At 39.1% G+C, this 26450-nt stretch overlaps 1 protein-coding gene across 2 annotated transcripts in view; it reads right to left on the reverse strand.

Annotated features, from left to right (window-relative positions):
- Window positions 1-26450, reverse strand: part of NUP133 (nucleoporin 133) — a 68083-nt gene that overhangs the window by 41044 nt on the left and 589 nt on the right. For both annotated transcript variants that reach the window (NM_018230.3, XM_047424979.1), the window contains exons 2-12: window positions 24738-24856; window positions 20697-20800; window positions 19454-19561; window positions 18382-18516; window positions 16834-17004; window positions 14590-14745; window positions 14193-14263; window positions 8653-8800; window positions 6164-6311; window positions 5069-5226; window positions 2752-2843 (exon numbers count right to left, since the gene is read on the reverse strand). In NM_018230.3, coding sequence (NP_060700.2) covers window positions 2752-2843; window positions 5069-5226; window positions 6164-6311; window positions 8653-8800; window positions 14193-14263; window positions 14590-14745; window positions 16834-17004; window positions 18382-18516; window positions 19454-19561; window positions 20697-20800; window positions 24738-24856 — 1410 coding nt within the window. The remainder of the gene's footprint in view (window positions 1-2751; window positions 2844-5068; window positions 5227-6163; window positions 6312-8652; window positions 8801-14192; window positions 14264-14589; window positions 14746-16833; window positions 17005-18381; window positions 18517-19453; window positions 19562-20696; window positions 20801-24737; window positions 24857-26450) is intronic.

Below are 26450 nucleotides of genomic sequence, written 5' to 3' on the forward strand. Positions count from 1 at the left end.
ATTCATATCTACCCAGTGCCTCAAAATGCAACCTTATTTGGAAATAAGGTTTTTGCAGATACAATTTGTTAAATTATGATGAGTCTAAATCCAATGACTGATGTCCTTATAAGAAGGCCACGTGGGCTGGGCATGGTGGCTCACACCTGTAATCCCAGCACTCTGGGAGGCTGTGGTGGGTGGATCTTGAGTCCAGGAGTTTGAGCCCAGCCTGGCCAACATGGTGAAACCTCGTCTCTATTAAAAATTCAAAAAATTAGCCGGGCATGGCAGTGTGCACCTGCTGCTTGGGAGGCTGAGGCAGAAGAATTGCTTGAACCAGGGAGGCAGAGGTTGCAGTGAGCCGAGATCACACCACTGCACTCTGGCCTGGATGACAGAGTGAGACTCTGTCTCAAAAAAAAAAAAAAAGGCCATGTGAATGTGAGGACAGCTACGTGACAATGGAGGCAGAAACTGGAGTGACACATCTACAAACCAAGGATTGCTAGCAGCCACCCGGAGCTGAGAGAGGTGAAGACAGATCCTTTCTCAGAGCTTTCAGAGGGAGGGCCCTGCTCATGCCTCGCTCTCAGACTTCTGGCCTCCAGAACTGTGAGAGAAGACACTTGCGTTGTTTGAAGCTCCTGGCTTGTGGTGATTTGTTATGGCAGCCACAGGAAACAAATCTAATGACTGGTCACTTGCTGCATTATCATTTACATTTTGAGATGCCACAAATGTGACAGAATTTTAATTACAGGATAAACTTGTGAAAGATAAAAACACAGTACTTCAACTGAGATTTTTGAAGACTGAACCATGTAAAAGAACAAGATTAAAAGAATATAATTTTAAACAGAAACAAAAAACTTGCCTAATGGTGCCCCCTTCTGGTGACAAACTAAGCTCAGTAGATCACGAGGTACAGAATGTTAGAACTGTAAAAGCACTTTGGAATCTGTTGTCTCTGTGAGTGAGCCGCTATGCATCAGACACCAGTATGAGTGGGATTATGGAACCATGGGCTCAGAACTGGGGGAAATGAAGGTAGTACACTCAGTATATTCCTTCAAAACAAAGATCTGACGATAAACTAATGATCCTTTAGCCATGCTAACTCCCACCCCACTCAATACTTCGAAAAGGAAGAAACAGAAACACAATGGCAGAAATGTTCAGCATCTGTCCAAAGTTTCCCACAGCTAACAAGGGGCAGAGCAGGGGGGCTGGATCACCATTTTCCTGAGTATTTATTCAAATGTGAATTTGCCATACCTTTTAAGGAAAGTACCAGAATACATGAGCAGAATACATGTCTAAGATAAACTGAAATCTGCATTTGCCTTAAACCCAGAAGAGTATTAGAGCAGCAAGTGTGACCAAGTGAGGACAATCACTCCCCACCCCATACGCGCATCTGCTTAGGCACGCTCTCACTACAGCTGGACTTGCTCTGGCCAACAGGACACTAGCAAACGCCATCCAAGCAAAGACTTAAAGAGTGTGCACTGACACTTGTTCTCTTGCCACTCTAGAACCCTGTGATACATGAATAAGCCCAGGGCAGCCTGCTAGTTGAGGAGACATCACAGGAATAGAGAGCGAGCTGGCCAGCCTATGGCCCAGAAATGTGAGTACGGTAAAGAGCAGCCAGCCCAGCTGCAGACCAAAATGAGTGAGCCTACTCCGAAAAGTAAAACTGCCCCGAGTCCAGCCCCAACAGTCAAACTGCAGAATTGTCAGCTATGTTAAATGAGTCACTAAGGTTTGTGGTGATTTTGCGTAAAGCAAAACTCAACTAATAGGCCAGGTCTAATTCTTTTGCTTTTTTTGAGACAGGGACTTGATCTGTCACTCAGGCTAGAATGCAGTGGTGTGATTATGGCTCACAGTAGACTTGGCCTCCCGGGCTCATATGATCCTCCCAACTCAGCCTCTGAGTAGCTGGGACTAGAGGCGTGCATCACCATGCCCGGCTAATTATTTTTAAAATTTTTCTTTGTAGAGATGAGGTCTATGTTGTCCAGACTGGTCTCGAACTTCCGGGCTCAAGAGATCCTTCTGCCTCAGCCTCCCAAAGTGCTGGAATTACAGGTGTGAGCCACCACACCAGGCCATAATTCTTTAATATTACCAATAAAACTTTGCATGCGGCTGGAAGTGGTGGCTCACGCCTGTAATCCCAGCACTTTAGGAGTCAGCCTAAAATCAGGAGTTTGAGACTAGCCTGGCCAACATGGTGAAACTCCATCTCTACTAAAAATAAAAAAATTAGCTAGGTGTAGTGGTACACGCCTGCAGTCCCAGCTACTTGGGAGGCTGAGGCAGGAGAATCGCTTGAACCCGGGAGGCGGAGTTTGCAGTGAGCCAAGATCGCGCCACTGCACTCTAGCCTGGGCGACGGAGTGTCTCAAAAAAAAAAAAAAAAAAAAAAAAACTTTGTAAGCAACTTATTTGCACCTTAACGTTATACGTAAAAGACCCTTGCAAGATGTCTTCATGATCACCATTTTTAATGGTACATTGTTTTTCATGAAGTGGAGAGAGTATGTTAGAGCCCATGTTTTTTCCCTAACCTAGCTAGCTGGAACCCTCCCATGGCTACTAAGTTCAGAAGAACAGTTTATTAAAGTGCTAAAGCTCAAAAAAACATTCTCCTCTTGATAGCATCATTCCTCCAACTTGCTCCCACCAGTCAATAAGTAGCACATGTCAGTAAAACATATCCTCACACATAAAATAATCCATAATTTAAAAAACATGTTATACCTGCAGTATTGCAGAAAGGCAGCTTTCAGCAACTTGATTTTATCTTCCTGGGCTATAGTTTCATTCTTTGTAGTGGTCTCAAAAATCATACTCTGCAAAATAACAAAGTATAGTTTAGAGGTAAAGGCATCTGAATATTCTTAATTATTGGACTAAAAACTGCACCCATCCTATGATAGCAACTCCGCATATACACGAGCTGTTTGCCGTATTGTCTGTACCAGGGGTGTCCAATCTTTTGGCTTCCTTGGGCCACACTGGAAGAATCGTCTTGGCCCACACATAAAATACACTAACATTAATGATAGCTGATGAGTTAAAAAAAAAAAAATTTATGTTTCAAGCAAGTTTACGAATTTGTGTTGGGCTGCATTCAAAGCCATCCTGGGCCGCATGCAGCCCATGGGTTGTGGGTTGGACAAGCTTGGTCCATACCAATTATTCATATACTTATTGAAACACTATAAATAGCATCAAATGATCAACCAAAGTCATACAGAAAAGGTACAGGTAATTCAGGGATTATGTTGTAAGTAAAATAATTTGGACATTTCATCATAATTAACAGAATCTTTTTATAGGTTTGCTCTTACACGACTCATCACAGTGTATACTACCTAAGCATAATGGTTGATTACAAATTTAAACAACGGTTTAGAAAAATTTTAAAGAAATGGAATACTATAAAATTGCTTCAGAATGTATAACAGTATTATAATAACCATACAATTACAAAATAGATATTAATCCTTTTTTGTAATCGTATTAATTACAAAATACAAGGTATTTTGTACTTTGTATAATTTTGTATAATTACAAAATACAAAATGCAAGGTATTAATCCCTTTTGTGAAAAGAAAAAAAAGTTAAAAATTGTTTCTTTCCTTTAAAACTACACTTAATCACTTTAATTTGAATTACAGAGGTAGTCTATATATTTCATACACTATTCAAATGGAAATTACCCCAAACAGTATTAATTATTTTTAGTCTTCTGTAAAAGAATGATAAAAATCTTATGGATAGGATATTTCAGGTTTCAAGACAACAGAATAAAATTGGTAATTTTTACCTGGCTATTCCTCTCAAAAAATCATCCCAGAATAAAAAGAAACAGAAATACAAGCTCCTTGGAAATATCTGTGATACTAACTACAACAAAGGAAGATAGAAAGCAGAAGGAATGGGAAATGGCCCCGCTGACAGGAGATGAGGCCACCTATGCATGGTGCAGAGGACAGGTCCTGAGGATTTGAGGACAATAGAAAAGGGAAGTTCTGGGATGACAGCTGTGCAGATGGAAGGTTTCTGGAGACTTGACTTTGGGAAAAACTACATTGAGGGGCACTCTACAGAACTCCTGGAGTGTGTAAAAAGATTAAGTCACATATGAAAGGAAAGTGAGAAAATACAAAACGAGGTCATTATACACTCCAAGAGTCACACAAAGTTCTATAATAAAGGACATGTAATCAGTATTTGGGATCAGCAAACCATAAACAATATTTACATTGTCATTACAATGAAAAAAATTTATGTTAGAATGATAAAGGCAGAGGAAGGAGTATAAGGTAACCCAAAACCTCATTTTCTGTAGTAGAAAATCAACAGATGCATCAGGAGACAGGAATATATGTACATTACTTAGATATATGGAGAAAAATACCAGAATAAATCACTAAAAGGCTTAAATGTAGTTGCTCCAGGCAAAGAGGACAGAAGGGATGAGGAAGATAAAAAGAACTAATGTCTGCATCATTACGTCTTTGAAAACTGTCTCAGTTTTGAGACCATTTGTATAAAATAATCTGATAAAACTAAAAATTAGGCTGGGCATGGTGGCTCCACGCCAGTAATCCCAGCACTTTGGGAGGCCGAGGCGGGAGGATTCTTGAGCCCAGGAGTTTGAGACCAGCCTAGGCAACATAAGGAGATCCTGTCTCTACAAAAAATAAAAAATTAGCCAGGTGAGATGGCGCATGTCTGTAGTCCCAGCTATTTAGGAAGTTAAGAGGGGAGGACTGCTTGATCCCGGGAGGTTGAGGTGAGGCTGCAGTGAGCTATGATTATGCCACTGCACTCTAGCCTGGGCAACAGAGTGAGACTCTGTCTCAAAAACCAAACCAAACCAAAAAACAAAAAATTAGCCAGGCACCTACTGGGAAGTCTGAGGCAGGAGGATTGCTTGAGGCCAGGAGTTTGGGGCTGCAATGAACTACGACTGTGCCACTGCACTCTAGCCTGGGTGACAGCGTGAGACACTATCTCTAAAAAATAAATAACATAAAAACTTCAAATTCTTATCGAATCACATTACCTCACTGTTTGGTCCAGCAACTGAAGATGCTAAAGACCCTTCCAAGTCTTCTGCCAATATAGACACATTTTCCCTTGAAGTAATAGACACCAGTCCACTGTTTCTAGAAAAAATGATAGGAACACCACCACAGGCACCAGCACCTAAAACACTATCTCCTAAAAGAAAGGAAAACAGAGTCAAATACATCTAACAATAACAACAAAATGCTATGTAAAAGCTACCACCCTAAGCAGAAAATCATCTTGATGATATATTAAGCACATTTTTTCCTTTACAACATTAGTCCTACTTCGAACTCATCCTTTACATCCCAGAATCAAATGCTAAGAACCGGTTGCTATCTGAAGAAGCAGGCTCTGTGTCTTTCAGCTTTAAGGACAATAAAAACTAGCCTTGCCAGACAGCAGTCAGTCTAGTAAGCCAAAAAAGAAAATTATTCCTTCTGCAAAACTCAGAAGAAGAGCTTTTTCAATCCTGTGGAGTTCTCTTAATTCTGACTTTAACTTACCACATCAGTCAATGGGGACTGGAAAAAAAAAAAAAAAAAAAAGGTCTAAGCCTACCTGGCACCTTAGTAACATCCTACCCACCCTCTGTCAAGGTTCTTGTGCTGGGACTAGAAAACCTGGGTTCCATGCTGTTGCCTACCTGCACTCTGTCCTCTGCCCAACCCCTTCAGCTAAGTATCTGCTTGGTTCTTCTTCAATCCTGACCAGCCCCCCTGCATAAGTCCAGCACCTGAAGCTCTTCTTATCTAGGGGTGTGGAAAAGTTAAAGCATCAACTCAGAATATGTCACTTTTACTAACTAGGAATAAGCAATTACTTCTCTTGGCAATAGTTTTTTGCTTCTTGGCATCTTCTCCTGGAACAAATGTTACTATCTTTGTCTGTAAATATAATAGTTTGGAAATTCTAGTACCCTTTTGGTTTCTTAGTAGGGTTATGGCTTCAGCTGCTGTAGTTGTGGTATGAAATGTCTCAGAAACATTTGAAAGCAGCATGCTTGAAGTGACATTCAGGGAAAGAGAAAAAAAGCACTCAGAATGACTAATGAGCTCACCAATCATGCTTTCTAAAACTGCTACTGTACCTTGTGCATTAAAGACAATTTTCTCCTGGGGAAGAGAAAATTTCCCAGTTCCTGTGGAGCACACATAGACAGCACTTTCGTTATACAGATAGGCAGTCTGGTTTGAAAAGTTTGGGACCGTCAACTGACACAAAATCAGGTCTTCAGACTGAAAGTTAAATTTAAGATTACATTTAACAAGAAGTAAAACAAAAATATTTGTATGATTTTTTAAATTCATTTTTGTACATTATTTCATAAAAATATTTCACCAATTCTCTTTGTAAAAATCTGAACACTACCCATGAGATGATTAACAAAACATGACAGAGTAAGTTTATAAACATCAATTAGACATATATTTTGTTGACTTGCTTATAATTTGCTTTTTTAATTTTTTTTTTTTTTTTTTTTTTTGAGACAGAGTCCCACTCTGTTGCCCAGGCTGGAGGGTAGTGGTGCAATCTTGGCTCTCTGCAACCTCTGCTTCCCAGGCTCAAACAATTCTCCTGCCTCAGCCTCCTAAGTAGCTGGGATTACAGGTGCATGCTACCATGCCCGGCTAATTTTTTTGTATCTTTAGTAGAGATGGGGTTTCACCATGTTGGCCAGGCTGGTCTTGAACTCCTGACCTCAGGTGATCCACCCACCTCAGCCTCCCAAAGTGCTGGGATTACAGGCGTGAGCCACCGCACCTGGCCTAAATTGTTAATTTCCAAAATTAACAAATTTGGAAAACATTTCCATGATGATGACTATAACTAGAAGCCTATGATAAATTCAAAGGAGAAAATGAAAGCACTAAAATTCGTTATATTAAGAATTGGCAATTTTTTATAAATATTCCCTGATAAACAAACATTTTTGTTCTTACCTTACTGCCAAGATATTAATGACAAGAAAACTTAGTTGATTTGTTTACATATAAAATCAGAGGGAGAAATAAAAATAAATCTCATTAAATAAAATTAGAATATGCTAAAAATGATAAGCTGTTATTAAAGAAGTAATTTTACAGAAATATTAAATGCGAGGTCCTAGAATTGTTTTTTAATCCTCAAATTCTCTTTATAGTCTTCTGCCCTGGCTGAAATTTTTTCTAACACTGAGCATGTTTTCCACACTGCATAATCAGAACACATGATAAAGTTTATTTCTGTTTGGCATAAAAGAACAAATCAAAAGATTTTCTTACAGGATTCAATTAAACAAGTCATGTTAAGAGTAAGGATCAAAAAAAAAAAAAAAGTAAGAATTTAAGCCAGGAACGGTGGTGCACACCTGTAATCCCAGCTACCTGAGAGGACTGCTTGAGACCAGGAGTTGGAGGCTACCGTGCACTCTGATGGACCTGTGAATATCACTGCACTCCAGTCCAAGCAACACAGCAAGACTTTATCTCTTCAAAAAATAAACAAACAAGGATTTAACAGAATTAGATACTATGTAAGAGTAAATAAAATGAATTTATAGATGTTCAGGTTCTTCCTCATGAATACCAGTTATTAAACATGTTTAATTGCTATTAATGAACTTAAAATTGGAAAGCCTGTCTTCCAGTCATTTACAAGAACTTTGATGACTACAGAACACTGCTGAATACAAATATAATCTTCCTTTGGGTAAAAAGGAGGATTTTTCTATAGTATACAAGGCTCTAAACCAAACCCTAATTCCTACCAGTTTTCTTCCTTCCTTTTTCTTTTTCTTCTTTTTTTAGGATGGAGTCTCATTATGTTGCCTAAGCTGGAATGCAGTGGTTATTCACAGGTGTGAATATGGTACACAACAGCCTCAAACTCCTGGGCTCAAGTGATCTTCCTGCCTCGGCCTGTTGAGTAGCTGGGACTAGAGGCATGTACTCATCATGCCCAGCTTGGTTTCTTCCTTACTTTCACCCTGGAATTAATCAATACCTTCTTTCTACCTAAATACAGACATGACAATCCCTCCAAAGATCTAGAGCAGAAGAAACAAACTGCTTTCTGCTAGTTGCTTCCATTCTCATTTTTCTTTAGTCAAAACTAAGCAAAAGAACAAGCCTGAGATGGCAAAGAAAATGCAACAATGTCTAGAAACAAGCTATTTTAAAATATTTCCAAGCCCTGCAGATGAAATCTGTCACGAAATTTGACCCTGAAATGGGCCACGCAAGGTGGCTCACACCTGTAATCCCAATATTTTGGGAGGCCAAGCTGGGGGAATCACTTGAGGTCAGGAGTTTGAGACCAGCCTGGCCAACATGGTGAAACCCTGTCTCTGCTAAAAATATAAAAATTAGCTGGGCATGGTGGCACATGCCTACAGTCCCAGCCACTCGGGAGGCTGAGGCAGGAGAACCACTTGAACCTGGAAGGGGAGACAGAGGTTGCAGTGAGCTGAGATCAAGCCACTGCACTCCAGCCTGGGTGACAGAGCAAAACTCTTTCAATAAATAAATAAGACCCTGAAATGGTTAGAAAAATACTCAACATATTATTGCTTTGTAATTTAACCAATATAAATCTTACCTGAAAAGGTGGATTATATTGAGTGACTTCTACAGTAACTGCATCTGACATTTGGCAACCATTATCTTCTATTGTTATCAGAGAGTAATAGATGAGACATGGATTGTCTGCTGAGTGCCATGCTGCTGCCAAAATCACCAGCCCATCACTAATCAATAAAAAAGGAAGATGTAAAGCCTCTCTAAAAAACAACTTAGGAGTTTCCTATAAAATTAAACATATGCTTCCATATAACTTAGCAATCCCATTCGTGGACACCTATCCAAGAGAAAATTTAAAAACAGAAACAGAAAACCAATAACTGTGTTCACACAAAAACCTGTGTACAAATGACTGTAGTGGCTTTATTCATAATTGCCTAAAACTGAAAACAACCCAATGTCTTCCAAGTGCTGAATAGATAAACAAACTGTGGTATATCCATACAAAAGAACACTATTCAGTAGTAAAAAAAAAAAAAAAAAATACTGAATGAATTTGAAGTGTATTATGCTAAGTGACAGAAACCAGACTCAAAAGGCTTTACACTGTATGTTCCATTTCTATGACATTAAGCAAAAGGCAAAATATAGGGACAGAAACCACATCAGTGATCTCCAGGGGCTAGAGGATGGAGGGGTCGATTACAGAAAGCACAAGGGAATTTGGGGGGTTATAAAACTGTTCTGTATTGATTGTTACGGTTAAATGACTAAATTGTGTATCTGTCAAAATTTGTAGAATTAGGGCCAGGTGCGGTGGCTCACGTCTGTAATCCCAGCACTTTGGGAGGCCAAGGTGGGCACATAACCTCAGATCAGGAGTTCAAGACCAGCCTGGCCAACGTGGCAAAACCATCTCTATAAAAATTAGTCAGGCATGGTGGCACATGCCTGTTGTCCCAGCTACTTGGGAGGCTGAGGCAGAAGAACTCTTGAACCCGGGAGGTGGAGGTTGCAGTGAGCTGAGATCGCACCACTGCACTCCAGCCTGGGCGATAGAGTGACACCCCATCTTAAAAAAAAAAAGAAAAAAAAAACAACTTGTGGAATTATAAACTAAAGAGGGTAAGTTTTACTCTATATAAATTATAGCTCAATAAATCTGACTTTAAAAAAAGATCAAAACAACCATCTGATCCAGGGATTGGCAAAGTACAGCCCTCCAGTGAAACTGATCTCAAACCAGTTTTTATAAATGAAGTTTTGTTCGAAGGCAACCATACGCATTTATTTATGTATTTTCTAGGGATGTTTCATGATACCATTGGTGAAATAGAGTAGTTGCAGTAAAGACTACATGGCCGCCAAAGCCTAAAACAGTTACTTTTGGCCCTTTACAGAAAAGGTTTGCCAATCCCTGATGTACTCAGTTATTTAAAGCTTACTTGCTTTTGTCCAGAGGAAAAACATTTTTAAAAAAGTTTTACCTCCAGACACGATGGCTCACACCTGTAATCCCAACACTTTGGGAAGCTGAGATAGGAGGATCATTTGAGCCCAAGAGTTCAAGACCAGCCTAGGCAACACTGTGAGACCATATATCTCTAAAATAAATTTAAAAGGCCAGGTGTGGTGTTTCACACCTGTAACCCCAGCACTTTGGGAGGCCGAGGTGGGCATATCACTTCAGGCCAGGAATTCGAGACCAGCCTGGCCAACATGGCAAAATCCCATCTCTACTAAAATACAAAAGTTAGCCCAGCATGGTGGCGTGTGCCTGTAATCTCAGCTACTCGGGAGGCTGAGGCATGAGAATCACTTGAACCTGCGATGCAGAGATTGCAGTGAGCCAAGCTCATACCACTGCACTCCAGCCCGGGCAACAGTGTGAGACTCTAACTCAAAAAAAAAATAATTTTAGGCCAGGCATAGTGGCTTATGTGTTTAATCCAAGCACTTTGGGAGAGGCTGAAGCAGGAGGATCGCTTGAGCCCAGTAGTTCAAGACCAAACAGGGCAACCCTGTCTCTAATGTTTAAAAACAAACATATATATTTAAAATGCTTTTTAGCCATTGGTTATAGAAATTTCAAACTGCTATATATGTAAAAACAAACCATTTTGCATCTTAAAGCTTATTTGTTCCTTAAGTCTAGCAAACTTGTTGCTCCCAATAAATTAAATGGTTCCTATTTTAGCTCTTCTAAAACATCTAATACTACTACTAGCAACATTTTTTTTTTTTTTTTGAGGCGGAGTTTCACTCTTGTTGCCCAGGCTGCAGTGCCGGGGCGTGATCTCGGCTCACTGCAACCTCCGCCTCCTGGGTTCAAGCAATTCTCCTGCCTCAGCCTCCCGAGTGGCTGGGATTACAGGCATGCGCCACCACACCTGGCTAATTTTTGTATTTTTAGTAGAGATGGGGTTTTTCCATGTTGGTCAGGCTGGTCTCAAAGTCCTGACCTCAGGTGATCCGCCCACCTCAGCCTCCCAAAGTGCTGGGATTACAGGCACGAGCCACTGCGCCCGGTCCTATTACTAGCAACTTTCATTCAAGTCTCAAAAAGATTAAAAGGGTGGCAAAGCACCCTCTACTGACAACTAAAAATAAGAAACCAAGCATGTAACTAAATGACATGACACTTCAAAGCAAGGAATCCTAGCACGGCTCATTTTCCTTCTTCACGGTTCTCTTCCCCCAGCTCCCCAAACTTTATCACTTCTGCTTGGACTCTTGAAAGGAATTCAAGAATATTGGTCCACGTTATTCTAAGTGAAGTAACTCAGGAATGGAAAACCAAATATCATATGTTCTCACCTATAAGTGGGAGCTAAGCTATGAGGACACAAAGACATAAGAATGATAATGGATTTTGGGGACCTGAAGGGGAAGGGTGGGAGGAGGGTAAGGTATAAAAGACTACATATTGGATACAGTGTACACTGCTCAGGTGACAGGTGCACTAAAATTTCAGAAATCACCACTAAAGAACTTACCCATGTAACCAAAAACCACCTGTACCCCAAAAACCATTGAAATAAAAATTTAAAAAAAAAATCAACTTTAAAAAAAAGAATATTGGCCCAAACTTGTAACATGTTGGCAGTGTCTCTCTCTCTACAATGCCAGGCTGGCCTAGAATTCTTGGCCTCAAGTGATCCTCCTGCTTTACCAGTTAAGTTTTTATGTGAGTATATCCAAAGTAATGAAGTTAAGGTTAAAAAAAATTCCAAACTTTATATCTAAAATGAAGATATCTAAACTTTGTATTAGTAATCATCTAGTAAAATAATTTATTTATTTTTGTTTTATTGGTCTTAGAAAAAAGGTCTTTCTCTGTTGCCCAGGGTAGAGCGCAGTGGTGGGATCATAGCTCACTACAGCCCCAATCTCCTGGGCTCAAGTGATCCTCTCGCCTCAGCCTTCTGAATAGCTGGGACTATGGTACACACCATCACGCCCAGCTAATTTTTTATTTTTATTTGCGTGGAGATAGGGTCTCGTTTTGTTGCCCAGGTGATCTTGAACTGCTAGCTTCAAGCAATCCTCCTGTCTTGGCTTCCCAAAGTGCTGGGATTATATGCGTGAGCCACCCAGCCCAGCTACTCACTGAAATTATAAGCCCAGATTGTAGCTCTGCCCAAATGGACAACAAATCAGTAGGTGTGAATGACTATAAGGAAGACAGACACTATTCTTAAAATAAATAAACGGACCCATATGAGAAATTCTCTGTACAGTTCTGATCATGAGGCCTCAAGAACATAATAGAGTACTAACTGGATAATTTTGAGTAAAGGTGGAGAGGAAGGTCAAGGAGGATAAGGGCTGCACCTCACAGGGACCCTGCTGGTCAGCATGACAACACTGGGGCAGAGGAGCCCTGGGTGGACCCTGCATAGCAATTCCTAAGCATGCTTCTCATTCTCAACCTCATGCCTCCAATTCAGAAAACTATGTGAAAAATGTCTGCATGGCCAGGCGTGGTGGCTGACACCTGCAATCCCACTACTTTGGGAGGCTGAGGTGGGCAGATCACGAGGTCAGGAGTTCAAGACCAGCCTGGCCAACATAGTGAAAACCTGTCTCTACTAAAAATACAAAAACTAGCCGGGAGTGGTGGCACCCACCTATAGTCCCAGCTACTTGGGAGGCTGAGGTGGGAGAATCGCTTGAACCGGGAGGCAAAGGTTGCAGTGAGCCAAGACCATGCCATTGTACTCCAGCCTGGGTGACAGAGTGAGACTCAGTCTCAAAAAAAAATAAAAAGAAAAAAGAAAAATGTCTGTATTATATGCCCATAGTGGGCTGTCCTAGCAGTAGTCCTACATTTCCAAAAGTCTGGTAAAGACAAAAACAGGTAAACTGTATTTAATTAAAACGCTTACAGAAATTAAACAAGTACTATTACTTTTACCTCTTTGATAGCTTTTATAAGGTTTTCAGAGACTGTAAAGGGGCCTATAATAATAGTCTAAACAGTCCAAGAGAGAGACAAATTACACAAAGTGGTACAACTGCAATATCCCTCCAAGGAACACGTAGAATTTGTTCTACTAACCCAAAACATGTAACAAGAACAGTAAAAATTACTCTAAAACTCATAAAAAATAGTCTTTAACTTCTGAGAAGTTGTCATCTGAAGGATTACTAGTTATATATTTGGATTCACTATGAGCAATGTTACAAATGGTTTTTAAGTTCCATGTGACCTTGAGCATTAAAGTTAAATAGTAACATGGGATAATTAGCTTTATCAGACTAACCTAGGATCCTATGCACCACTCAGAGAGAGCACTGTTTCTAAGAGGAAATTTACTCTGAGTATGAACTATGATTAAGTTCTAATTTGTACTACCAAGACAAAGCCTTATCCCATCCTTAACTCAGCATAGCCACAAACATAGGCCTAAAGCTCCCTGAGCAACAGAAAGAGGGTGGGAAATATGTGCCTGATACCTCCAATGAGAGAAAGATCACAGCATGGGGCAGCCACAGCAGTGGGCAATGACAGGGTCTCAGGCATCTCTTGGCAGTGAAGAAGAGAAGCTCTAGCTGTAAGAGCAGAAAAGCTTTGTCTCTAACGAATGAGACACGAAGGTAAGAATATACTATTTAAGGCTGAAAAATGCCTCAATTTCCCAAATGAACTAACATCACTCGATAAACAAGAGCAAGACCATTCAGTAAGGCTTAATAGATAGCATGAGAAGACCCGCACTAAAAGAACAGGCTGGGCACAGTGGCTCACACCCGTAATCGCAATACTTTGGGATGCTGAGGCAGGAGGGTTGCTTGAGCCCAGGAGTTCAAGACCAATCTGGGCAACATGGTAAGACCCTATCTCTACAAAAAAATTTTAAAAATCAGCCAGGTGTGGTGGCGCATGCTTGCAGTACCAGCTACTTGGAAGGCTGAGGCAGAAGGATCACTTCAGCCCAGGAGGTCATGGCTGCAGTGAGCTATCATGGTGCCACTGTATTCCAGCCCGGGTGATAGAGTGAGACCCTGTCTCCAAAGAAAGAGCACATAGTGAGATTGCTCATCATTTTATTATAAACATCAACTTATTTTTTCCAAACTCTTCTCTATGTTCTTTACGACAAATTAATTGCTTACCAGTTTTGCTTCAAGTCCAAATATCGAATGTTGACTCCTTCTTTAATAGCTTCATAGTTACTTTCAGATCCCTACATGAAAATATCAATAATGTAAGCTTCTCAAGTGCAGGAATGATTTATTTTCACCTTTATATCCCTAGTACCTAGTGAAGTGCTTCACCCATAACTCAGTTGCTGAATAATGTATACATTAAAAAAAAAATCGCTAAGCAAGTAAACCAATGCATTCCAATATTTCTGGAGATTGACTAACCCATTTCCACTTAATCTGATAACCATACACTATGTTGTTTATTACACTGAAATGTGTTGAAATAAATAAAACAATTAAGGGAACCAGCATTATCATACAACCATAAACATGAATTACAGAGATGAATATTATTGTTTCTTACCCAAATAGCATCGGTAATGTTTTCCTTCAGGGCTCTATTTATATCCCAACTGTATGCATGCTTTTCTGAAGAATCATCTAATTCCCATTTACTGATGTTTGAACTCGTCAGGCTATAAAAGCTTGATCTCTCTCTATCCCAGAGAACACTTGAAAGCTATTCAGAAAAGAAAAGGAAGTCAAATTCACAGATTAACTTCTAATGCTAAGGAACTATTGTTTTAAAAGTCAAATTTCACATATGTGATTAGTAATCCTAGCAGAATTCTTCATTTGGGATTTAAAGAAAGTAGTGATCCTGGGCCGGGTGTGGTGTCTTACCCCTGCAATCCTAGCAGTTTGGGAGGCCGAGACAGGTGGATTGCCTGAGCTTAGGAGTTCAAGACCACCCTGGGCAACATGGTGAAACTCCATCTCCACTAAAATACAAAAAAGTAGCCGGGTGTGGTGGCACACGCCTGTAGTCCCAGCTACTCAGGAGACTAAGGCAGGAGAATCACTTGAACCCAGGAGGTGGAGGCTGCAGTGAGCCGAGATCGCACCACTGCACTCTAGCCTGGCGACAGAGTGAGATTCCATCTCCAAAACAAACAAACAAAACAAACCAGAAATGAGTGATCCTGAAATAGAGCTTGAGGGCAAGGTTGGATCTATAGGAAGAAGGATACAGGTGGAAAGCCCAAGAGGAGAAGAGCTGAAAGGTGGGAAAGTTACAGCGTCTTTGGAGAACAAGAAGTCATCCTGTTACATTGGAATGTAGATGACAAGTAGAAAAGAAGAAAAAATAAGGATTTTTTGAAAAATAATGAGGCCAGGCGTGGTGGCTCGTGCTTGTAATTCCAACACTTTGGGATACCAAGGAGGGAGGCTCATTTGAGCTCAGGAGCTTGAGACCAGCCTGGGCAAAATGCTGAGACCCTGTCTCTATTTTTAAAAATAAATAAAAATAAAAAATAATGAAAAATCAGGGACATATAGCAGAGAGTGTTGAATGTGAATTGGTAAGTGTAGCAAGCAAGGGAGATATTATCAATAGCTTCTGAACACAGAATTGTGTTTGAATGCATTTGGCAGAATGTATGTAGTTAGTCATGAAGAGGAGTGTTATTTTGCCTTTTCAGTATATACTTAATCATGAAGTATAGATATTCGGCTTTTTAAAGCTGGATATACATGACTGTTTTGTGTTAAAACGCATCACTGATAGGGCAGAAAGGCCAACAGTAAGTAAACTGAGCAGGTACCAGGAGCTTAGGTGAAATTTATCAAGAGTATAGGTTAGGGCATAACATCAAAAGCAGAAAGATGGGGATGGAAATGAGATTGGATAGAAGTTAAATCTACAGCACCTGGTAAATAACTAGTTTGCTATAGAAGGAGAGGGAGACACAAAAAATAACAAGGTTTTATACCTGGGTCACTGAAAAAAGGGATGGTGCTCTTAACAAAAACAGGTCAAAAGAGAAATGAGTTTTATAGGGTTAAGTGAGTAGCCAATAGGAGAGATGAAAGAACACAATAAATTTGTTTTTAAACATGTTAAGTTTAGGTTTAAAGAACATTCAAGGAAGCAGGTGATAATTATCTGAAACAAGAGGGAAACAGCACAGTAAAAAGAGCATGTTCTTTAAATTCAGACAGGCCTGGGTATGATTCCCAGCTCTGCCACTCAGCAGTTACACACCTTCAGCCTTGCTGAGGGTGCTTCCTCATCTGTAAACTGGCGGGAAAGCATGCTACCTTACAGGTTGTCACAATGATTACACAATATGAATATAACAACTATAGAGCACCGAGCAGCGAGTAGATGGTCCATAAATATTAGTTCCCATCATCTTCCCTTCACTATGCTAGAGTATGGTGCAGAGAAGTCCAGCCAACAGATCTAGATTTCAGTCATCCACACAGACAGCTGGAGGCATGAGTAGAAACACGCTTCTGGTTAAATCTAAAAAGTCAAATTAATCTTTAAGAAACACATTTTATATTTTACATAATAGTTTTAGTTCAAAAAATGTACTTGTGAGATAATCTGTCTGATTTAAAGATTTTAGTGTTACAAGTTATGGGAGAAGGTTAGTATGATCTCATTTCATCATAATAAAAATAGTTCACTAAAAAGACCAAAGGTTTTATTTCGCATAAGCTACTGTCCATATGGAGGAATACTAAATTCAGAGGATACTTTCAACTTATTGATTTAACTAAGAAATAAGCTTGTAAAATAGTTATTTTATAAACTTACTGTGAGATCACTACTAGGAGATAAAATTCCAAAAAGAGAAGAAACTTTTCGACCAATTCCTGAAAGCATGCCTTGCCCCTGAGGCAGGATATGCTGATGAATCTTTCCTGAGCTCTCAGGTATCAACCGAATTAGTTGGCTTCCTGATGAAGACAAAATAAAACTTCCTCCCTGTGAAAAAACATTATGAGGTTAGTTCAGTTTAGCATCGAATGCTAAGATAAAATGAAAAATTCTTTGATACAGAGAAAAATCATCGTAATTGAAATAAATCTAAAAGAATACAAAATAGAACGTTGTTATTTTATTAAAGTAATATATTTCAGAATCCATTCAGTTAATATTATTAATCCTACATAGAAAAACTCTCATAAGAAAAAAACTGGCCAGGCATGGTGGCTCACACCTGTAATCCAGCACTTTGGGAGCCCAAGGCGGGGTGAAACCCCGTCTCTATTAAAAATACAAAAATTAGCTGGGCGTGGCGGTGCGCACCTGTAATCCCAGCCACTTGGGAGGCAGAGGCACAAGAATTGCTTGAACCCAGGAGGCAGAGGTTGCAGTGAGCTGAGATTGCGCCACTGCAATCCAGCCTGGGTGACAGAGTAAAACTGTGTCTCGAAAAAAGAAAAAAAAAAAAAACAACTTTTGTAGCAGAAAAAAATTGCATATTTTTTAAATTCTGATTTTTAAACTACAAGTTCATCATATTTCAGATTCAACAAATTAGGTTATCAGATTTTATTTATTTATATTTTTTGTTTGCTATTTTATTTTTTTAGAGATAGGGTCTCGCTCTGTCACCCAGGCAGAAGTGCAGTGGTGAGATCATAGTTCACTGCAGCCTCAATCTCCTGGGCTCAAGAGATCCTCTTGCCTCAGCCTCCTGAGCAGCTGGGACTACAGGCACACACCACTATGCCCAGATAATTTTTAAATTTTTTTGTAGAGACAAAGTTTTGTTTTATGGCGCAGGCTAGTCTTGAACTCCTGGCCTCAGGCAATCCTTCCGCTTCAGCCATTCAAAGTGGTGAGACTGCACGCATGAGCCACCATGCTCAGCCAGATTTTGTTTCTTTGTGAACCTACAAAGAAGATAATGCAAGCCATTCTTTATAGTGTCTGACAGTTTTTAAGCCAATCTTATAAAATGTTTCTAAAAGAAATTCATATCACAAGCTACTATCTGAAATTGATATTTTGGAGTCCTGTGAGAAGAGCCTCCCTTGTCTAACTGTTCAAATCATAGATCCTTACATTCTTCTCTTCCTTGTCTCTTTTTGATCCCTCCCCGGCCTCTATAGTCTCTTTAAAACCCCACATTTTTAGTCATCAAATCTCATTTCCACGGCTGGGGTGCAGTGGCTCATGCTTGTAATCCCAGTACTTTGGGAAGCCAAAGCAGGAGTTATTGCTTGAGCCCAGGAGTTTGAGAATTGCCTGGGCAACATAAGGAGATCCCACCTCTATTTAAAAATAAAAACAAAAATTTATTTCCAAGCCAAATCACAGCTTTCCAATAAATATAAAGGAATATCCGTGGTATACCTGCACTGCTGTTAGGAAACTGTAAGTCTTATCACCTCCCGAATCTACAAAAGCCTCTGTGTAGGTATCTTCACCAGCAAGGCTTGGCCAATAGCGGATAGATCCTTCTCTGGTGGCAACCATGACAGCAACAGCCTCAAAACAAGATCACAACAATCAGCAATCACAATAAAAGAGGAACCCAAAAACCAGCAGTCTGATGGCAATGATACAAAGAAACAGGACAATTTACTATTTGATCAAGAAAAATCAGAAATAAGAACTCACCAGTGTTTTGGTTTGCATTTTTCTAATGGCTAATGATGCTGAACATCTCTTCATGTGCTTATGTGCCATCCTTATATCCTCACTAAGTGTCTGTTCAAGTCCTAGCCCCTGTTTTTAAACTGCATTGTTTTCTTATCAAGTTTAGAATTTTAAAAAATATTCTGGATACAAGTCCTTTGCTGGATACATGATTTGCAAATTCTTCTTACTCTGTAACTTGTCTCTTCATTTTCTTGTCTTTGGCAAAGCAACGCTTTAAATTTTTATTTTATTTTAATTTTATTATTAATTTTATCAAACTTTTCTTTTATGGATCATGCTTTTGGTGATTTCCAAGAACTCTGTCTAATCTCAGGTCATGATGATTTTCTTCTGTTTTCTTCTAAAAGTTTTACTGTTTTACATTTAGATCTATGACCCATTTCAAATTAATCTTTGTAACAAGGTATGAGGTTTAAGGGAAAATTCAATACAATACAATACAAATTGGTCATTTGTAATTTTAAAATTACAAATGTTCCTACACTATGCATTGATACAGAGAAAAATCATCGTCAAAAACCATCCTTTCTGAATTGCTTTTGCACCTTCATCAAAGACCAAATGGGTGCCTTTATGTGGATCTATAACTGTATTCTCTATTCTGTTACACTGACCTATGTGTGTAGCTCTCTTTGCCAATACCACAATATCTTGATTTCTATAGGTTTATAGTTATATCTCAAAATCAAAGAGGATGATTCCTCTAACTTTAGGATGTCCTTGTTGTAAAAAGTTTATTTAAATAAGCTTTTAAGTCACCTACCTGAGTAGAATGTGCTTCACCTGAGGGAGAAGAGTAAGAAAGAGCCACTAAGTCGGCACTCCAGTGGAAATCACTAGGTGGCAGCTGAAGTTCTTTGCAAACGGATAACTGTAGAACAAACCCAAACAGAAAATCTTTCACATCAAATCCAGTATTTTGAAGATGCATCTGATTTCCCTTCTCTGCATATTTTAGATTCTGACTCACTGCTGGAAACACCATTCTACAAATATTCTTTCTTCTCACATCTCCTTTTAATCAGGCTTTCAGTAATTTTAAAACAAAGTATCTTAAGAGTATTGAATCATGAAAACTTAAAGGTAGACCAAACTCTGAAGAACAACTATCCTAACCTCTTCCTGGGCTAGAAAAGTCCAGTTAAGAGAAGACTAAGTAAGGTTAAGATGAGTGCTTAGGCTTCCTATGGAACTTTCCCAATTTACTCTTGATTTGTTCATCTGACATTTAAAATTAGCATGACCAAAGAGTAATTATACCAAGTTACCTAGGAAACAATTTCTTAGACTCTCAGCCAAATATCAGGATCCCGCAGCTAACTCAGTATGTCCCCCAGGAATTCACCCTCACCTATTACTCCTAACCACATACACCCTTTTCTAGGCAGCAGTAACACAGAGTTCAGCAGAAGTGAAGAATTGAGGTAAGCAGGAGCCCTGAGTTCCAACGGAACATGGCCAAGGAAGTAATGACTGGTAGAAGAGAGTAGTGTATCTAAGCTGTAACAAACAGAAAAAGGTTGCTGAGGATACGTTACTAGACATGCAAATGATAACCCACTGTTGGAAGTGGACAAGTGAAAAGTTTAACTAGCAACTGGTATCATATTTTCTTATTTTATTAAGCATCATTCAGTAGGTTCAACAAAACATAGTTCTGTCTTCTCAGAAATACGCAAACTCAAAGTTCATTTGCTTATGTGGATAGCATTTAGTCTGATACTTCATTAGGCAGACGGATTAGCATTATATTCATTGGAAATATCAATGACTCTAATTTTATTAAATGTAAACAACACAGATCTTCAAAAGGGGGAAACTTTTTTCCCAATACACAAATGTGTATGCATGCTCATTATTTCACATCACTATGAAAATGCAAACTCTTAATGCCTAAGTAGTTTCCTATTGACTATCCTCCAACTGTAAAAAAATTAGGGTAAAAATGAAAAGTCAATTGGCATTCCTCTCCTCTATCTTGTTCCAGCTCTCTAAAGAGCCATTACCTTAGTAATAGGTGACAGAGCAATCTTCCAAATAATGAGCTTCTCTTTGCACACCAGACAAGCCCATCCACCTTCATCTATGTTAATGGTCAGCTGGTCATCGACTAAAGGAAAAAATGAGGTGGGTGATTAATCTTATAGTATAAATCTTTATTACCACACGCTTTATCAAAAAAAAGTAATTGGCACACTCAGAAACGACTACCTCACAACAAATACTTTTGAATATTCCAAAATTATCAACACCAAAAACAATAGATCTATTAACTCTGATAACCAACTTTAGAAATATATCTAACGCCTGTAATCCCAGCACTTTGGGAGGCCGAGGTGGGAGGATCACGAGGTCAGGAGATCGAGACCATCCTGGCTAACATGGTGAAACTCCAACTCTACTAAAACTACAAAAAATTAGCTGAGTGTGGTGGCACGTGCCTGTAGTCCCAGCTACTTGGGAGGCTGAGGCAAGAGAATCGCTTGAACCTGGGAGGTGGAGGTTCCAGTGAGCCGAGATCGTGCCACTGCACTCCAGCATGGGCAACAGAGCCAGACTCCATCTCAAAAAAAAAAAAAAAAAAAAAAGAAAGAAAAAAGAAATATATCTAAAGGCAAAAAGTGTATTTGGGACATTTAATATTCCTTAATTTTTTGTTACAAACAGACCAGATAGCTTATTTCCTATAAGACATATTTAGGCCAGGCACAGTGGCTCATGCTTATAAATCCCAATATTTTGGGAGGCCACCCTGGGAGGACTGCTTGAGGCCAGCCTGGGCAACATAGTGAGACTCTCTCTCTTAAAAAAAAAAAAAAAAAATAGCCAGGCTTGGCAGTGCACTTCCCAGCTACTAGGGTGACTGAGGCACAGGAGAACCACTTGAGCCCAGGAGATTGAAGCTGCAGTAAACCATGATCACATCACTCCCACCTGGTCAAGAGAGCAAGACTCCATATCAAAAAATAAGTAAGCAGAAACAACAAAAGAGAGGCCAGGCAGGGTGGCTCACGCCTGTAATCCCAGCACTTTGGGAGGCCGAGGTGGGTGGATCATGAGGTCAGGAGTTCGAGACCAGCCTGGCCAACATGATGAAACCCCATCTCTACCAAAAATAGAAAAAAAAATTAGCCAGGCATGGGGGCATGGTGGCGTGCACCTGTAATCCTAGCTACTCGGGAGGCTGAGGCAGGAGAATTACTTGAACCTGGGAGGCAGAGGTTGCATTGAGCTGAGATCGCGCCACTGCACTCCAGCCTGGGCAACAGAGCAAGACTCTGTCTCAAAACAAACAAACAAAAAAGAAATATTTAGCAACATTTATAATTATATCGATAAAGTAAAACAAATAACAAACTCATTAACTATATAAAACATTTCAAGGAAAACAATGTGCTTTTGGAGGACCAAAAGCACATAATTTTCAAATAAGAGCTCCTTAAAGGAATGATAAATTATTTAGTACATGGAGACAAAGAGTTACGTTCTCTATTAAGTGACAAAACTAAATTAGCACATATCTTAAGTATTGGTGGTAAACCTCCACAAATGTGTTAACAGCCCTGGAAATTTTATTAAGTTGAGCTTTGCTCTTTACTTACAGAAAGGTAGAAGGGTGAAGTAAAAGGCATAGACAATGTACAAGCAAAAATATCAAACCAAGCCCAGGCTGAGTGAGGCTTTTTGCTCAACTGAACTATCTGCTCAGTAATTTTCTTTTTCTTGAAAGCACTACAACTCCAGATCCTCGACCGGTGTGCCTTTAAGGGCTGACTTAACAGTAGTTGGCAGGTTTCTAAGTGGGGAAGAGTTCTTCAAGTTGACACACCTCTTTGTTTTATATATCCTAATTTCTAAGGACTCTCTGAATTTCTAGATTTGGGGCTGTGTTATTTAATCTAGTCTGTTAAAATATGAGTAGTACATTAAAAGGTTTAAATGTAAACTGAAATTTTTAGAGGGGAAAAATATACACATATATACCAATATATATATATACATTTATTTATTTAAAACAGAACAATGTATAGAAAGGTTAGTAGTTGTCTGAAAACAACTATCCCTAAAGCTCCCAAGGACCTACAGGCAAGATGTGCCAAGTTCCAGTTGATGAGATATATTCCTTCTTCTAAAACAGAGTAATTTCAGCATTTTTTTTTTACTGTTATTAAGTTATACAGTAAATAGAGTTATTCACAGTATAATACATTTTACATCACGATACACCCATATACAATTTAAGTAAAACGAACAAAATTTACTAAACATATGAGATGCATTCTATTTCTTCTTTTTTTAAATGCTGGTCAAGAACCGCTAAATTTTGGTCACCCCTACAATTTGAAAAATACTGTTCCAGAAAAATCACAAAGATCTAGAATTCAAGCCTTAATAAAAATGACTTCAGCAGATATTAAGGCTGCTCTGAACTTTGCTCTTCCAGTGTCATCCAACTGCTCATCTTTAAAGTTGCCTTTCTAAGCTTGTGTTGATTGTATCTGTCAAAATTCCACACTAATTCTCCACCAACAGACGCTTCTAAAGGTACACCACGACAATGGTAACGTCATAAATTTGTGCACACAGCCTCTGGGATGCTACATAGGATCCAGAAATGGAGGTAGGACTTGATTTTACTGTATTATTAAACCCAATAACATGAGGTGCCAGTTTTGGGGTTTCACGGGAAACTTCATAAACCTGATCAACTCTGTAAACAGGACTGAATTTTGCATATACAGTATTTCCCCCTTTTATCTGCAGTTTCAAATACCTGTGGTCAATCGTAGTCTGAAAATATTAAATGGAAAATTCAAATGAACAATTCCTAAGTTGTAAATTGCATGCTGTTCTGGGTAAAGTGATAAAATCTCATACTGTCCTGCCTAAAGGTTGTGAATCAACCCTTTGTGCAGCATATCCATACTGTATACCCCAAGCTTGTCCAACCCATGGCCCAGGGACACGTGTGGCCCAGGACAGCTTTGAATGCGGTCCAACACAAGTTTGTAAACTTTCTTAAAACATGATAAGATTTATACACAGACCTTTTCATTATTTATTTTTAGCTCATCAGCTATCGTAAGTGTATTTTATGTGTGACCCAAGACAATTCTTCTTCCAAGTGGCCCAGGGAAGCCAAAAGATTGGACACCCCTGAGACTATCCAGCTGTTTGTCACTTAGTAGCTGTCTCAGTTACCAGATGAACTGTCGCAGTAATGCAATGCTTATATTCTCATTTTAGTTAATGACCCCAAACGAAGTACAAGAGTAGTGCTGCTGGTATATTGTTATAATTGTTCTACTTTATTATTACTGTTGTTCATCTTTACTGTTCCTAATTTATAAACTAAAGTTTATCATAGGTGTGTATGTATTAAAAAAACACAGTATATATAAGGTTTAGTACTATACAAGGTTTCAGGCATCCACTGGGGATCCTGGAAGATATCCCCCAAAGATAATGGGGGACTACTGTACAGTACCTAAAACCATTAAAGACTTAATTTGATTGTGTTCAAATGAACTCATTCTCCTTCTCGAATGTATTATACATCTCAATTACAGTTAAAAAAAAAAAAAAAAAAAAAAAAAAAAACTAAGACAGGTGGCCAGATGTGGTGGCTCACGCCTGTAATCCCAGCACTTTGGGAGGCCAAGGAGGGCAGATCACCTGAGGTCAGGAGTTCAAGACCAGCCTGGCCAACATGGTGAAACCCTGTCTCTACTAAAAATACAAAAAATTAGCTGGGCGTGGTGGCTCACACCTATAATCCCAGCTACTTGGGAGGCTGAGGCAGGAAACTCGCTTGAACCTGGGAGGTGGTGGTTGCAGTGAGCTGAGATCACACCACTGCACTCCAGCCTGGGTGACAGAGTGAGACTCTGTCTCGAAAAAATAAAAATAAAAAAACACTAGACAGGCCACCCATCTCTCACCATTTACGTAAAGGTATACTAGAGAAAACATAAATTTAATCTCTATGCCACATCTAGGCTCCATTTTAAACTGCTAATATAGGTAAATGGAAAGATGACACCTACCTTCAGCCAATGTTAGGGCTTCCATGACTTTAACAGGAAGAGAAGATCCAAACGTTTTCACATCATAGTTCACAGACTCAGTTATGGAGTGGTGTGGGAACATTCGTGTTGGTGTTCCCCTAAAGAAAAGAGTCTATATTACCTTACTTGTAACTTAAAATTCTCCATTATCCTAATTTTTTATGTATATATTTTCACAGTAAGGAGTTCTTTGAAAAAAATTAACACTGGCTCATATTTACCATGTAATTAAATGTAATATTTTTCATGTAAAAAAAAAACAAAACAGGATTTAGGAAAACTTGGCTTCAATCCCATAGACTCTAGTATTGAAATGCATGCCTGTATTCACTTAAACTCCTTATAATTCTGCCTCCTTAGCTGTGAAATAAGGCTTAACTAGACCAGTGTTTTTTTTTTTTTTTTTTCAAACAGCGGGTCATTTTGCAGATCTCAACATTTTTGAAAGACAGAATATAAAACATCAGCTTTTACCATATGTTGTGGTCAAATACATTTTATAAATATTGGCTTAGATGAGATTTAAGCTCATCTAGCTTTAGGTGCTTAAGAGTCCACCAGACCTGGCCGGAGCAGTGGCTCATGTCTATAATCTCAGCACTTTGGGAGGCCGAAGCGGGAAGACTGCTTGAGACCAGGAGTTCAAGACCAGCCTGGGGAACGTGGCAAGACCTTGTCTCTACAAAAAAAATTTTAAATTAGCCGGGCATTGTGGCACCAGCCTGTAGCCTGGGCGACAGAGAGTGAGACCCTGTCTCTTTAAAAAAAAAAAAAAAAAAACTATCAGATCTGTACAACCAAGCAAGAAATCGAACAGGTTACGAGCATCAGCTGTTACATGGTCCTCAACAGCAGATATCACAGTAAAAACTTTATTTCTTGCTCACCCTCTTAACATTTAGAATATTGTAAAGTCACCAGAATAAAAGGTAGTCTATGTCTTATCACGAGAATTAAATGAGAAGATGCACATACAGAAGGGCTAAGGGCTTTGTTTCCTGACAGAGGATAACAAAGGTTTTTCTTCAAATGATCACAAGAAGAGATTTAAATAAAACAACACACAGTAAATAAAGTATGCTTTTATTCTCCAACTTTTCGCAAAAGGAATAGAAAACACTGACAAGATCAGCACTTTGAAAAGAACTTTTCAAAATATGCCAAAAAAAGTCAAAGATACAGTGTATTCTTTCAAAACCACTTCTCCTTTAAAGTACTGAAAAATTTTACAGATAAATTTTAACCATAATTTCAAGACACAATACTTTGTGTTTCCTGCAGGGAAAAATTCATTTTTTATAGATGAATTCAGAGAAAACTATGCAGAAACACTAAAGTTTTAGGTTAATTATGAACATGGTGTGTGTTGGGGGTGGGGAGGGGTGTGTGTGTGTGATGATTTTACTGGTGCTCCAAACGAGCAGTTTTAGTAACTAAACTATCACAGTACTCTTAGCTCACTTATGTAAAGCCTTTTCCTTATAATTTACCTAGAAAGTTAAATTCCGTAGCTAGAAACCCTTTAATTACCAATCATCAGATATTAATGTCAGTTGGTATGTTAGGCATTAAACAATGATCTTTCAGGGTTGTAGGTCCTCATTATCACCATCACCTTACATCTGCATCGTGGCAATTCATAATAACTCCTCTGGCTCAGGTGAGATATATTATCGCCATTTCACAGATGAA

Source organism: Homo sapiens, chromosome 1, assembly GCF_000001405.40.
Source record: "Homo sapiens chromosome 1, GRCh38.p14 Primary Assembly".
Lineage (NCBI taxonomy): Eukaryota > Metazoa > Chordata > Mammalia > Primates > Hominidae > Homo > Homo sapiens.